At 43.5% G+C, this 15,723-nt stretch overlaps 1 long non-coding RNA gene across 1 annotated transcript in view, besides 1 other annotated feature; it reads left to right on the top strand.

Moving 5' to 3' along the window:
• The window catches only part of LMCD1-AS1 (LMCD1 antisense RNA 1), a 280,512-nt gene that overhangs the window by 8,875 nt on the left and 255,914 nt on the right, over positions 1-15,723 (top strand). The gene's annotated exons all lie outside the window — the stretch shown is intronic.
• Positions 9,107-9,401: an enhancer, noted in NCBI's record as "tiled region #2381; HepG2 Activating DNase matched - State 5:Enh". NCBI's record gives its function as "activates a minimal TATA promoter and a strong SV40 promoter by Sharpr-MPRA in HepG2 cells {active_cell/tissue: HepG2}" and the evidence as "EXISTENCE:reporter gene assay evidence [ECO:0000049][PMID:27701403]".

Here is a 15,723-nt window from a genome sequence, read left to right as displayed (position 1 = left end):
TTGGGCATGTTCCCATCAGGGAATCTCTAATTAGTGAGCGGAGGAGGGAAGTCTTATAGCACCTGTGTTCTCCAGGAGACTTTAAGAGACAGAGAGGAGATAAAATCAGTATAATTAAAGCCTTAGCATTTTTCCCATTATCACATTTTCCATTCTGTTTGCCATGTTGGCATTTTAATTCTCCAAAGCCTTCTGGGAAACATAATGTTACCTGGTAACATTGCCCCATGGGATGTTGAAATCATGTCATTTTCTAGAAAAAAAAAAATGGTGCAGACGCTTCTGAATGTTACCTGTGTCTGAGCTCCTATCTGTGACCCTGCATCATTTGTGATTGGAATCAATTTCTGTAGCTTGGGCTCAAGGCCAAAATTAGAATCAATTGTGAAGAAGGGGATGTCTGCCTTGATCCATTTTCTTCCAGTTTCACGTCCTTCCTCAATGATGAGATTACCTGCCCGAGCCCCTCCCTCTGACCCAGTGTCCTAGCCGTTTGTGTCCCACTCTGTGCTGCAGCCTCATTATTCATCTGCTGCCCATCAAAGTTTACCTGTCCTGCCTACTGTCCTCTCAGTGCCCTGTCTCACCTTCCCCTCGCTGGGTTGGGCAGCATACTTCTGAGGAAAGAGTGAGGGTTTCCAAGTCAGGCATATCTCAGTTCGAACCCTAGCTCCACCACTCGTTAGCTATGTGGCCACAGGCAAATTGACTTCTCTCCCGGGCTGTTCTGGCTGTGAAATGGAAATGATGAGCCCGGCATCAAGAGGGAGGTACCCAGCTGAAGTGAGATGATGTGCATAGAGCACCCACCCATTGCCTGGCACAGAGCCACACCCATAGTTTCCTGCCTCTCCCAAGATTCCCTTCCCTTTTAATGTCCACCCAGTTCTTCCTTGTTTGTCATGAATAGAATTCATAATAACAGTTCCCCATATTGCTTCCTTCATCACCAGGGAGATGAAACTGTCATGTCAGACTGATTCTGCAAAGATTCTTTTACATGCATATCTGCAACAGGCAGTAGCTGCGTGCAGGCAAGGGGGATTAGTAAGCATCTTCCCAAAGCAAACAGAGGGGCTGGGAGCTGGACAGAGCCTCAAAGGTATCGTATCCCCTAACTTTGTAGCATCCCAACAGGGTGTGCTTCCCTCTGCTTGGATGCTTTCCATGGCAAGCAGCTCATTTCCCCCACCCCCACCCCCTTTTTTTTTTTAACCAGCCAGTTCCAAGGACTTTTGGACAGCTCTGATTGTTAGAACGTTCTTCTTTACCTTGGGCTGACATCTGCTTTCCTGGGGCTGTCACCCTTCTGTGCTTTTCCAGCCTCTGGAATCTATTTGAAGGGCTCTCCCTTTCCCACATGATGACAGCTAATCTATTAGAAAGCTAGGATCATGCGCATGAGAGGCCTTCTCCTCCTCTCCTCTCCGTATTTTAGGCACTATGGTACTCTGCTTAAGTTTGATTCCACCATTATATTCCACTTTGTGGGCAGTGGCCCTCCCCTCCTATCTCAGTAAGCTGGTATGACCTGTAAGGGGGTAGAAGCTCCTGCTTTGGAGTCAGACAAATTTGGTTCAAATCCCTGGTTGGCTACTTACCATGATCCTCAATCCACCTATTATAAAATGGAGGCAATACTACCAACCTCATAGTCCTGGCACACAGATTAAATAACCAGCGTGCAGCCTAGTGCCTGGCATGGAGAAGGTGTTTGATACTTGGTAGCTGTATAATTATTTGCCAATTGCCAGGTAGTTAGCTATCATGTTTGGTTCTCTGAGAAACTCTTCCCAGTGACATTTAAGATTTTGCTCAGGCGGTCAGGAGATGGAGACCATCCTGGCTAACACGGTGAAACCCCGTCTCTACTAAAAATACAAAAAATTAGCCAGGCGTGGTGGCGGGCGCCTGTAGTCCCAGCTACTCGGGAGGCTGAGGCAGGAGAATGGCGTGAACCCGGGGGGCGGAGCTTGCAGTGAGCCGAGATCGCGCCGCTGCACTCCAGCCTGGGCGACAGAGCGAGACTCCGTCTCAAAAAAAAAAAAAAAAAGAGATTTTGCCCAGGCTGCATTTGGGAGTCCATTCTTCGCTTGTGACAAAAAATGGCATTAAATAATTGTTCCACTTATCACAACCACAGATTTTTAGGAGGAAAATAGGATAGTCAGCATGTTGCTCAATGGCCATTTTAGTTTGTTCACACAAGGCAGGTAATAATTTAAAAACATAATTTGGATTTTCTGTGGCTAACCATGCACATCCCAAGAGGCCCCTTGGGAATGCAGCAGAATGTCCAGACAGCCACGGGCAGAATTCCAAAGCTTCTGAAAGATGAGTGTGTTCGTGGCTGATGAACAAGGTATGAAGACACCAAATCCCCCTGACAAAGTCCAGCAATGCCTTGCTGCTGATCAGTCTTTCTGGAAAGACTGGATGAGCTCACCCAGAAGAAAAGAGTGGGTGGGAGATTTCAGGAAAGATTCTTACTTATCAGAAATTAAGCTTTAAAAGTTTTGGGCCTTCCTGTTGATTCTCCTAGCTTTTCTCACAACCCAAGACACATGGTTTAGCAATGACGTCATCTGACATGGATAGTCACACTGAAGTCAGAAGCTGTCAAACAGATCCTGGATTATGACGGAGGGTGGAAGGGATGTACAATTTGAGGGCCATGTGAGTGTGAAGTGAGTAATGCTTTGCAGTAGGGTGTTCCTCCCTATCCCATCATTGATGGGTAGCAAACACAGAATTAAACTCTTCGATATATTCAGAAATAGTTATTATGTGTTCCTCTAAAGACCTTACTATTTCCTAGGTAAAATTTACAATTCTGTAGTCCTACCTCTTGTCATGCTAGCAAACTACTTTTATATACTCCAGTTGAATATAAATGGCCAATTTCTATCATTTAGTTTGTTCTTTTTTTCATTGAATCACTCAGTTATTCAATCTGTGGAGCAGTCTTTCAGGCATTTAACAAATAACAATTGCACATCTCTTTCTGTATCAAGAGTTCTGCTGGGCATGCAGCAATGTAAAAAGACACACAGGATTCACTCTCTTGGGGAAGACAGATGTTAAACAAACAATTACAACAAAAGGTAATGAATGGGAGCATTGTGACAGGAAAAGAATGGGCCTTGAGGCAAGAAAAATTGAGTCTGGCTGGCGCTTATAGTTCTCTATTACCAAAAGTATCAGATTCCAGTGGCTTAACTTCTAGGACATCTAAATAAATAACTCCAAACACTCCTCCATTAGAAAGAGTAAGAGCTAACATTTGTGGAGCTCTTGCCATGTGGGTAGACACTGAGCCAAGCCCTTTACAAAGATAGTCACACTTAATCCTCCCAATAATCCTAGAGTTAGGGCCTCTGAGTACTCCCATTTCACAGATGAGGAAGCTGAAGCTCAAAGTGATTAAGCAACTTGTCTGTGGTCATGCCGAGCCAGGTGGCAGAGATGGGAGTTGAACTCTGGTCTCTCTGAGCTCCTGGTAATAACCATGAATGCTTGTCCCCCATCACATGCCTAGGAACTGGAAAAGCTGTGACAAAAGGCTTCGAGAACTCAGGAACTTCCTAGTTTACTCCCAAAGAGCCAGTAATCCTGCAGTGAGGCTCACAGCCCTTGGGTACAAGAGGAAGAATTGGGGTGACCAGGTCAGAGGGCATCTTAGGGTGAACTATGCTCCTGAGTCCCAGAAAGCATGAGAAAGGTTTTTCGGGAAGTTACTTATAACAGTAGAAAGAACGTTAGGCAATCCAACCCAGAAATGAATCAATCTTAGATTCACGTGTGCATTTTGATTGTAGCTGGAATAATATAAACCAAATTAGAAAGCTTAATGTCCACATGACATCTTTATTTGGTTGTAAAGCAACGCATTACACACACTCTCTTTCCTTTACAATGATCCAAAAAATAAAGTGAGTCAGTCATTTTTTGCAAAAATAGGTCCTGCCTTTCAAAAGAAAATAAATTGTTTTCTCAAAGAACATAACCTTCTATTTTTTCCCACTCCTTATGTTCCCGTCCTCCGTTATGTACCTTCTGTCTAGATGTTAGATCATTTTGAACTAATTTGGAAATCTTCATGCTTAATTTAGAAGTGATTCATCTACAGATCGTGTAGTACCTAAGTTTGGCCAGTGATAGGGACAGTTGCTAAGGGGGGGTGTTGATACAGGCTTGCCAGTAAGTGACCCATCTTCTATCATCTAAGATGTCACTGACTTGCTGCAGTGACTCAGGTGGAGTCTTCATAACTGTGAGTATGCTGGGGAGCATCCTCAGAAGCTTCTCTTGGTGTCCCCCACATGGTTTAGGATGGCTCTATGCTCAAGGCATGGCTGACACAGTGCTGCATATTCTAATGAAGGTGTGAATGATTCATGTTTCCCTGCCAGTTCCATTTGGTCATTTTACAGTTTTTTTCAGGCTTCATCCATATATCTTCTCCTTCCCCCAAAGGACTCTTTTACCCAATATCTCAATTATCACTAAAGTGGACTCCTTCTCATCCAGACTCAAGAGAAATGAATCTCAGAATCCAACTGTATTAGTCCATTCTCACGCTGCTAATAAAGATATGCCTGAGACTGGGTAATTTATAAAGGAAAGAGGTTTAATGGACTCACAGTTCCACATGGCTGGGGAGGCCTCACAGTCATGGTGGAAGGCAAGGGAGGAGCAAAGTTATGTCTTACATGGCAGCAGGCAAGAGAGCATGTGCAGGGGAACTTACCTTTATAAAACCATCAGATCTCATGAGACTTATTTACTATCAAGAGAACAGCATAGGTAAGACCCACCCCCATGATTCAGTTACTTCCCACCAGGTCCTCCGAAGACATGTGGGAATTTTGGGAGCTATAATTAAGATGAGATTTGGGTGGGGACACAGCCAAACCATATCACCAACTAATCTGCTTACACCTCATATTGCTACAATTATTGCCTGTTCCTGAAAATGATTAGTACTACTCTACTTGTGTCATACTACAACTACCACCACCACCACTTCTATTACTACAGGTAAGAAATATTTTGGAACAATTATCAGGCTACAGGCACTGGGTTGAGTTCTTTACATGCTGTATCTTTTTTTTTTTTTTGAGACGGAGTCTCACTGTTGCCCAGGCTGGAGTGCAGTGGCACGATCTTGGTTAACTGCAAGCTCTGCCTCCCGGGTTCCAGCCATTCTCCTGCCTCAGCCTCCCAAGTTGCTGGGGCTACAGGTGCCCACCACCACACCTGGCTAATTTTTTGTATTTTTAGTAGAGACAGGGTTTCACCGTGTTAGCCAGGATGGTCTCGATCTCCTGACCTCGTGATTCACCTGCCTCGGCCTCCTAAAGTGCTGGGATTACAGGCGTGAGCCACTGCACCTGGCCTACATGCTGTATCTTAATCCATCTTCATACCAGTTTTATGTGGTAGGTACTCTTTGGATCCCTATTTTGATTAGAAACAAACCAAGGCTCACATAAGCAAAATAACTCACCTAAGCCCCACCAGTAGTAAATTGCAGAGGCATTATCTAAACCCAGCTTATCTCGCACTATGACACCATCACTTTCTACTTTCATGATTTTTCACGCCACCTCTTATCATCTGTACTGTTATTTACTTAACATAGAGTTCCTGGCATGCACCACACTTGCATGATTAGGTTGCAAAAGCAGACAAGTCGTTTTGAGCAGGCAGTCCTTTGAACCTACCGATACTTCCACTGCCGTCTGCATCATCCATCAAAGTAAATCCCATGAAGGAAAACAGAAATCTTAGCATTAACATGAACTTGGAAGTATGAGTTTGTCAAGCTCTTGGTCTCCTCTGTGGCAGATAATTTTCTTATAAATCTCCAGGCATGAGAGTCATTTTCTAAGCAGCTTTTCTTCTTGCTACATGATTTTTTTTTTCCTCTACTGCACTACAATTGTTTCTTCTAGCGAGGACCTTAGTTCTTTCCAGGAGTAGTTTGAGGGCATCTGTAAGATTTTGTGCAACTTTATTTCTCTAGATTGAACAACTCTAACCTCTGCCTAGAAGGACCTGGTGGTTTATTTGGAAACTGGAAATTATTTCATGGTTTCCAATTACAAGGGGCCTCTAGCGAGTGATGACTACCAGCATCACCCTCATGCCCAGGCAAGAGTGGCTCCAGTCCTGAGGACCACACTCTGGCCCTCATCTAGGCTACCCACTCCTTCTAGGCCGGGCTTTAAGTACCTTAGTCCCCACTCAGGGTCTTTGAAGGGTCTTAATCCCACTTCCAGAGCAGAGCACACCTCTTTCCTGGGTTTATTTGCTTCCAAGATGAACCTCATAACAATTTACCCCAGGCCCAAGCAATAACCAAGAGCTGGCTGTGTATGGGATATAGATGGAGTTTGGGCATATATGTGAGCAAGACGCCTGGAGGTGTGGAACAGACCTAGAAGTGGGAAGAGTAGGTGGAGACAGACCAGGATCCAGAGAGAAGTTCAAGAACTTGGAATTCAAATCTTAACTGCCAAATTGTTTCAAAAACATTTGTCATGGTAGGAGGAGAGAACATATTTTTATTCAACAGTGTGTTCGCTTGATTTACAACTCTTACATATTTAGACCTATGCTATGTGGGTCTCCACTTATACCCTTTGCCCTGAGTTCACCAAGTGGTAGGGCCAGGTAGCTACTACTAGGGCAACGAGCTGTCCTGGTTTATCTGGGACTAAGGGGTTTCTCCGGGATGCAGGATTTACAATCCTAACAGAGAAAGTCCCAGGCAAACCAGAATGAGTTGAATTGGTCACTCTAGATAACCCACTATCTATAATATAGTGGCTGATATTGATTTGTATAACTGTACAGAAGTTAGCATCTTTCTTTATGGGGCAAAAGAACCTCCTTATATTTATGTTTTCATCATAATAACCTATTAGAAATTCCATTTAATGATAGCTTTGCTCTCAGAGTCAGGAGGTAAGTAAAGGCCACTTAGCCATGGGCAGGCCTTCTGTCTCCAGAGCAGGATGAAGCAGTGGCTTTTGTAAAATTGCCCAAAGTCAACAATGAGCATTCATCAAGCACTAGAAGAAGCAGCCTCATCAAAATTCTTGCTGGAAGTCAAAATAGATTGGAATGCCAATCTATTGGACTTTCTCAGACTGCCTTGTTTGTACAAGAACAAGAAACCTGGAGATGGTTCCATGTGACATGATTTCCATTAGTATCCAGTTCAGATGGCTACAATTGTCTAAAGTGACTCCCTTCTAGAGAGCCCACAGATAACTAAGAACTGTGGCTATTTTGGGATATTTGGTAATTGAAAAAAAGAGGGGGTAAAAACATCTTTAACCAGAAAACTCTCTAGGTCAAATTGAAAAGCAGGCAAAGTTAGTCTCAAGCCGTGCTGCTCCTTCTAGTTTTGCCATTGTCTTTTCTGAGCTTGTGGGAATAAGCTATTCATTCACTCAGCACATTAGGCCAAGATTACATTCCAAGCAAAAGGAACTGCAAAAACAAAGGCTGTGGGGGTAGGAACATACTTGAAGACCTGAAAGTAGACCGGCGGGGTGGGCTGGGAGAGGAGAAAAGTGGAAGAAAATGGGGCCTGAGTGGTGGGTCAGGGCCATATCAGTAGGACATTATGGGCCACAGTAGACTTAGGATTTTATTGTGTGTAATGGAAAGGCAACGTGGCAGGCTAAATAATGGTTTCCGAAAGGTATCCAGATCCTAATCCCTGGGACGTGTAAATGTTATCTGATATTACAAAACCAGACTTTGCAGATGCGATTATGTTAAGGATCTTGAGATGGGAAGATTATCCAGGTGGGCTCTGAATGTAATCACAGGTGTTCCTATAAAAGGGAGGTGAGGGAGAGTCAACACAGACAGAAGAGGACAAAGCAATGTGAACATGGGACAGAGATTGGAGTGATACAACCACAAGCCAAGGAATGCTGGCAACTTCTAGAAGTTGGAAGTAGCAAAGAATGGATTCTCCCCTAGAGCCAGGAGCACAGTTGTGCTGACGTGTTCATTTTAGCCCAGTGATGTGGATTTTGGACTTCCAGCCTTCAGAAACAGGAGATAAGTTGTTTCTGTTGTTTTAAGCCATCAACTGTTTGTGGTAATTATTTGTTAAAGCAGCTGAAGGACATTGATACAGGCAGATCTTAGCCTCAGGCTGGGGTATGACATGGTCTGATTTATGTCTTCCAATGGGCACTTGGAGCTCTTTGTGGAGTAGAGACCAGAAAAGGCAGGAGTAGAGGTGGAGAGATCAGCTGGGAGGTTCTTGCAGGCATGCAGATGAGACAAGATGTGGCAGTGGATGTGTGGAGAGCTGGAACATCCAAGATATTCTTTGGAGGTAGACTGAAAATACTTGCTAATAAATTGCCACTAGGAAAAGCGGGCTCTGAAAAGTCATCAAAAACTTAATCTGAGTGTAAGTGTGTGTGTGTGTGTGTGTGTGTGTGTGTGTGTGTGTGTTTATTCAAGAAAAAAAAAGCTTGTAATTTTTAAAAAGAAGCACAGTTTAAGCCAGTGGTGGGGTTTTAGGCTCTGAACTCCTCCAGATATGGAGAGACATGCTCAGTGGGTGGCAGGTTGTGGAGTTTCATTAGAACACATTCTATTATGCTCCTTAGCTGACCACCTGTTCTGTGTATAAGCTGTTACAATGCCTTTTTTAGAAGTTGATACATTGCAGGTCAAATCATAATATTGCCCATGCCTGCTCACAGGGAATTTTTGTGACACTCCTGGGTATGGGAGGCCTATGAAGAACGTAGTTTAGATGCTGCAATGTTGACATTCTTAGGACATTTCGAAGGTTTCCTGGCCTGGTGACCAAACTTTAGTATGTGTCTAATTCATCTGGTGAACTTAGAAATTATGCAGATTTGAGAAATGTAGCTCCAGAGATTCTGATTCACTATGTTGGGACAGTGATTCTCAATTTTAAAATAATTACCTGGGAAACTTTTTAAAATGCAGGTTCTGGGTGGAGCCTGAGATTCTGCATTTCTGATGAGCTCCCAGGTGATGCTCATGCTGTTGGTCTCTGGACCACACCTGGAGGAGCAAGATTCCTAGGAATTGTTTTCAGAGCTGTAAGCCCCTGAGTGCCAAGGTTGAGGCTTCCTCCAGTGTGGATGTGATACTACATGTGTTTGAAAACAAAGGCAGCTCTGGACACATTGCCAAGCCCTTTTGTAGGATGGCCCAGCTGTGGTCTTGGTTCAGCAGATCGTTTTCCTCTCTAAACCAGTGACACTCTGCATTCCCTCCTGCTGAGCTCATACATGTCTCCTTGCCAAACCCAACAGAGGCTGGCTTCCCAGACTGGGTTACGAGGCTGAGGTTTGCCAGGCTCAGTCCTTCCACAAGTGCCACTCATGGGCTAGACGACTTCCTCAGCCCAGTGGTGTCTGTCTTGTTCAGGACCCCATGTGGGCTGCACACCACCATCAGCATGCTGTTTCTAACACACAGTCCTGGCCATGCTCCTCCCCTACTTCCAACCCTGCCTGGGCCCCCATTGCCCTCCAGAGAAGGTCCAAGTTCATTGGTCTACCCACCAACCTCTACTTCCATCTCCAGCCTTTACCATCTGCTACCACCATTAGTTACTTGTTTCATATATGCATTATGTCTTCTCTCCAGGCCAGAGGACTCACAATTGAATTCAGAAACCATCCTCACACTATGGGGAAAACTACATATGGTAAGGAGAGAGAGGAACAAGATTTGAGAGGCAGTGCAACCTAGTGGATAAGAGCACAGGCTTTCGCATCAAATCCCAGCATGGTCATACTTCAACTGTGTGACCTTGAACTGTCTCTGGGCCTTAGTTTTCTTATCTGCAAAATAGGGAAAAGAAAACATTTCATTTAGGGCAGTCGAAAGGATTTAATGAGGTCGTATATTTGAAAAACTTAACTTTGTACCAGGCATGTAATAAGCACTCACGTCAGCAATTGATGTCCATCCCTCTCTTTCCTCTCTCTTTTCCCTTCTTGTACTTCCCCTTTTTTCTTGCTCTACCCTCAGGATCTTGGGGCCTTCATAAAGGTACAAGTCTTGGGATTTTCTCTAAGTGAAAATTCCACAAGTGTGGGAAGCATTGGTCATATTCCAGAAACTGTTTTTGATAATTGGCCAATAGGAACTGTTTTGAGCTGTCCACTTAGCTACATTAGCAGGAGCACTTTAAAAGGAAATGAATGAAAATGTTCATTATTCTGGCCATTAATCCATACTTGGAGCAAACAGGAATCTCTAAGTCCAAACATTTCCCCTGTAAAGCTTTGTTTACCTTGGAGACCAACATCAACACAATTAGGTTTCAATATCAACAACATGGGAGGGTTGGAAGTCAGGAACAGCGGATGCCTTTTATAAATCCGGTGTCCAGGGCCACAGTTAACACCTTCCTTTCTAGACTGGGAAGGGTTGTTTTGCTGTAGGGGGTAGGGTGACATTTCAGAGTTGCTCCATTAGATGAAATAATCAGGCACTGACAATCGATTGCAGATGTCGTTGTCAGTAGCATTATGTGGGATACTCCTTGACTTGGTGCAGATAAAGTCCAAAGATGAGTGTTTGCTAAGGTCCAGCCACCTCCACTGCCAGCCATATGGGGTATAATTTGTCTGTGGGTCACACTAAGCAAGAGAAATGCAGGCTTCAGCTAGGGTCAATTCATCCACTCAACAACAAATATTTTCCAAGTACCTAGTATGTGTCAATCACTGTTCTAGAGCCTGGTGATGGAGCAATGAAGGGAACATAAAAATCCTTGTCTTCGTGGAGCCTACTTTCTAGTTAGGTACATATTTAAATTAAGCCTACAAAATATCTACTTACCTCAGCCTGAATTCAAAGACATAAATGATTCCAGGTCTTGGGATTTGGTGGGCGAAGCAACCTTAAGGATTGTTTATACTATTGATTCACTGTCTTTCTTAGGAACACACACTTCTTTGAGAATATTATAGAAGATGTGAATCCTCATTCAATCTATGCAAACTTTCACCTTCAGTTTCTGATAATTCATCCCCCTTACCTCCCCAAATTCAAGCCCTAGGTTAAAACCTTTGATCTGGTTCTAACATCTTGAGACTGTTTCTCAGCATCCTTGCAAATAAGGACTTACTGAAAGATAATGGATTTTTTTTTAAATGAGGAACTTGCTCCCTCTCCAGGCAGCTCATTTCATCCTAGAGCTCTGACTGTAGACTACCAATTTCTTTTTTGACACTGTTCCGTGTCTCTAAGCCTTGAGGTTGAGATCTGGTGCAAGTATGTCTGGCACCCTATTCACTGCGTTCCTGTTTGTCTTGAAGGTGCAGAGAGAAGTACCTCCCTCTATCACTGATATGGTTTGACTGTGTTCCCACCCAAATCTCATCTTGAATTGTAGTTCCCATAATCTCCACGTGTCATGGGAGGGACCTGGTGGGAGGTAATTGGATCATGGCACGGTGGTTATTCCTATGCTGTTCATGTGATAGTGAGTGAATTCTCAGAGATCTGATGGTTTTATAAAGAGCCTTCCCCTTTGCTTGGCTCTCATTCTCTCTCCTGCCACCTTGCAAAGATGTGCCTTCTGCCTGATTGTAAGTTTCCTGAGGCCTCCTAGCCATGCGGAACTGTGAGACAATTAAACCTCTTTTCTTTATAAATTACCCAGTCTCGGGTATTTCTTCAAAGCAATGTGAGAACAGACTAATACAATCACCCTCCCAGGTTTTGAGGCTATTATGGGCTTGGCTACTATTCTTTTCCCTGAAAAGGAAAGGCTTCAGTAACATTGTTTCTCCTGGTCGCTCTATAAAGATACTAGCCCAAGATAGGCCTCCTTAATCTCCTCCATCCTCTGTTTACCTTCTTATCTGAAAATATTACTGGATTTGCAGATTAGCCAAAGGAAACAGAGACATGTTTTTAAGGCTGGCAACTTGCTTTTTGAACCTGCAAGAATTCATATGGCTTAAATGACTTCTCTGTTCCTTGTGTTGCACAGGAGGAAAGAAAAAGAAAAAAAAAAACTCTAACTTATGGCCAGGTAGAAGAGCCGTGTCAACAAGGTACCCTCACTCTCTGTGGAAAGCCAGTTTTTCTTTTAACCTGAGGTCCAGACCAAGTGAAATGGTTCAAAAGGACAGGGCCAGAGATCAAACTGTGAGAGCTCCTTATGAAGCAAAGGATAGTGCGAGACATCCCAGTACCTTAAAGAGCTCGCTGTTCAAAACAAATCTGCTGAGATTTGGAAGTGAGTAGGTCTTATCTATCAGACAAGAGCTAGGCAATTTTTAAAAGCATGGGCCCCTCAAGAATGGAAAGGTTGTATTTATTCTTAAAATCAGTGAAGCCACAAGGCAGAGGGGGTTGGAGTGAAATGATTTTATTTTCTTTAGCCTACTTCAAGCTGTTTTTGAGCCACATATACACATAACAACCACCGCCCTATTACTGTGGGCCTGCTGTGTGCTGTGGAGTTCTGTAAGAGCTGGGCTGTTCATTCTGCATCCGCACAGCATCCTGACCAAGAAGGAATTGTCGTCACTGGTCCTCTGCTTCACAAAATTAAATTAAGGATTAATTAATTAAGGATTCTTGGTTTATACACATACTAAAAATTTCATATTTGAATCATGTAATGAATACTCATGACCTCAAATTTAAAACAAAATCTCAGACTTTGACAATAACTTACCTGTAAAGTGTAGGGCTCTTCCCTCATCTCATCCCTGCCCCCCCATCATACTATTGTCCTGAGTCTCATGTCCGTCACCCCCACCTTTCCTTTTTATATAACTTTATTTCACCTATACATACTCATAAATACATGTGTCTATTCCATTCTAGTTGTTTTAAAATTTATATAAAAGGTGATCACACTTTAGGTAATTTTAGGGACTTGTTGTCTTTACTTAATACATTGCTGAGACCCATCTGTGTTGTTGCATTTCTCTGTAGTTTATCCATTTCGACTCTTACTATGTTCTAAGTATCTGCCATATGCTCTTAAATATTCTACTGTGGGAATATCCCACAGTTTATTCATTCATTCTTCCTCGAATGGGCTTTTGTGTTATCACCAGACTGTTGCTCTTGTTAACAGTGTGGCCTTGAACATTCTTGTGTATCTTGATTTTCCAAAGTGGTTGCACCAATTTACATGCTTATGGAAATATATAGATTATAGTCAGTCCAATGTTTGGAATTGTCAGTTTTAAATTTTTTTCCAAACTAATGAACATTAAAAAAATTGTGGTATTGATTTGCATTTCCTTGATCATTAAAGATTTTGAACAACTCATATATATATATTTGGCTCTATGTTTCCTCTTTTGTGAATTATCTGTTCCTTTCTTTTGCCCACATTTTCCTATTACTTTAGTTGTGCTTTACTTAGTGATATGGTTTGGCTATGTCCCTGCCCAAATCTCATCTTGAATTCTAGCTCCTATAATCCCCATGTGTCATGCAAGGGACCTAGTGGAAGGTAATTGAATCACGGGGGCAGGTTTTTCTGTGCTGTTCTCATGATAATGAATAAGTCTCATGAGATCTGATGGTTTTATAAAGGAAGTTCCCCTGCACATGACCTCTTGCCTGCCACCATGTAAGACGCACCTTTGCTCTTCCTTTGCCTCCTGCCATGATAGTTAGGCCTCCCCAGCCATGTGGAATGTGAGTCCATTAAACCTCTTTCCTTTATAAATTACCCAGTCTTGAGTATGTCTTTATTAGCAGCATGAGAACAGACTAATACACTTAGTGACTTTTTTATAGGAGTTATTCATATGTTCTTGTTACTAATCCAAAAAGAGAATTAATAGCTATATTTTCTCAGTGGGGAAACTGAATGTCCTAGAGTTAAATGACTTGGTCATGATCATGTAGCCATACATGGAGGGCCAGCATTCCTCCCAGGCCTGTCTGATTTGGTGTATATCCTAAATACCTGGTCCATGCTATCTTCCTACTGAGACGTCTATGGACCCGCAATGCGAGGGCTGATGCTTTTCCCTGCCATAGCACCAATGGGCTGGAGAGCATTGAAATGGTCCCTACGTCTTTGGGCTTAGTTTCTTCATCTGTACATCTGTGCTGTATTTTCTCCCAGTAAATCTCAGAGCACCTGTCCCCAACTTTTTAACTCTTCTTGTCATTAGGTTTCAAAGTGGCTAGTGTGCTGGGGGAGGGAATGGTCCCCACCAGCCTCCAATCCATCTGGCCAGTCCACAGCATGGTCTCCACAGTCTTGGATAATTGGGTCTTGACTGGCAGCTCCAAGTATCTTACTTGATTTGGGGTTTGGGAGGCCTGGGGTGAACAAAGACAGTCCTATTAGGTTGGTGCAAAAGTAATTGCGTTTTAGTAATGGCAAAAACCACAATTACTTTTGCACCAACCTAATAGCTTCTTTAAAATTCTTCCTTGATTGTCAATTGCCATGATACTTGGCTATCATTTCCTGAATGCAGTGGTTTCCAGGGAGCCATTGATTAAGCATGGCAGAAGGGAAAATTAAGAATGCTCATCATGGCCGGGCGCGGTGGCTCACGCCTGTAATCCCAGCACTTTGGGAGGCCGAGGCGGGTGGATCATGAGGTCAGGAGATCGAGACCATCCTGGCTAACAAGGTGAAACCCCGTCTCTACTAAAAATACAAAAAATTAGCCGGGCGCGGTGGCGGGCGCCTGTAGTCCCAGCTACTCGGGAGGCTGAGGCAGGAGAATGGCGTGAACCCGGGAAGCGGAGCTTGCAGTGAGCCGAGATTGCGCCACTGCAGTCCGCAGTCCGGCCTGGGCGACAGAGCGAGACTCCGTCTCAAAAAAAAAAAAAAAAAAAAAAAAAGAATGCTCATCATGACGGCTCTCATTTTTTTGTTCATTCAACAAACATTTATTGAGCACCTACAATGCTTCAGGCACACTGGGCAGGTGGTGCTCGTAGATGTCAGATAGACTTGAGTTTAATGCCTTTTACTGGCTCTGGGGACCTTGACCAAGTTCCTTAACCTCTCTGAGCTTCAGTTTTCCCATTATTAAAATGGGGGCTAATATCCAGGTAGTACTTTTAAAATATGTCTGCAAATTCTTTCCTCCTATTAAGAAGTGACATCAGTGTCTCCTCCCTTTGTGGGGGGCCTTTGTGGCTGCTTCAAAGAACAGAATGGGATGAAGTGATGCTGCATGGCACCCAAGGCCAAGTTAGAAAAGGCCATGCAACTTTGCACTCTGGGGCCTTTAGCCATGGTGTAAGAAACCCAGGACTCTGAGGCTCTCAGGTGGAGACCCCATGTAAAAAGAAAACACAGAGGATGAAAGATGGACAAGAAGCTCCCGCTCTTCCAGCCCCAGTTGTGGAGACTTCCCAGCACAACATCTAGACACATGAGTGAATACACCATTGAGATGACCCTATCTCAGTCACCATCCAACTGCACCCACATGAGGGCCCTGAGCAGAAACTGCCCAGCTGAGCCCAGTCAACCTCCAGATTCATATGCAAAATAAACGATGGGAATTTTTAAGCCAATATTTTTATTTTAGGGTTTTGTTATACAACAATCAATCACCAGGACAATCCACTTTGCAGGGCTGAGGACAGGTTAGAAATGATGCACATAAAGCCCACAGCACAGTCTGAATTTGGAGGTGGGGACATACTTTCATATACTCTGTCCTTCAATTCCAGGGTGATCCC

This window comes from Homo sapiens, chromosome 3 (assembly GCF_000001405.40).
Source record: "Homo sapiens chromosome 3, GRCh38.p14 Primary Assembly".
In the NCBI taxonomy this organism is placed as follows: Eukaryota; Metazoa; Chordata; class Mammalia; order Primates; family Hominidae; genus Homo; species Homo sapiens.
The sequence above is the reverse complement of the archived record's forward strand: the minus strand, read 5'-3'. Positions and strand labels throughout refer to the sequence as shown.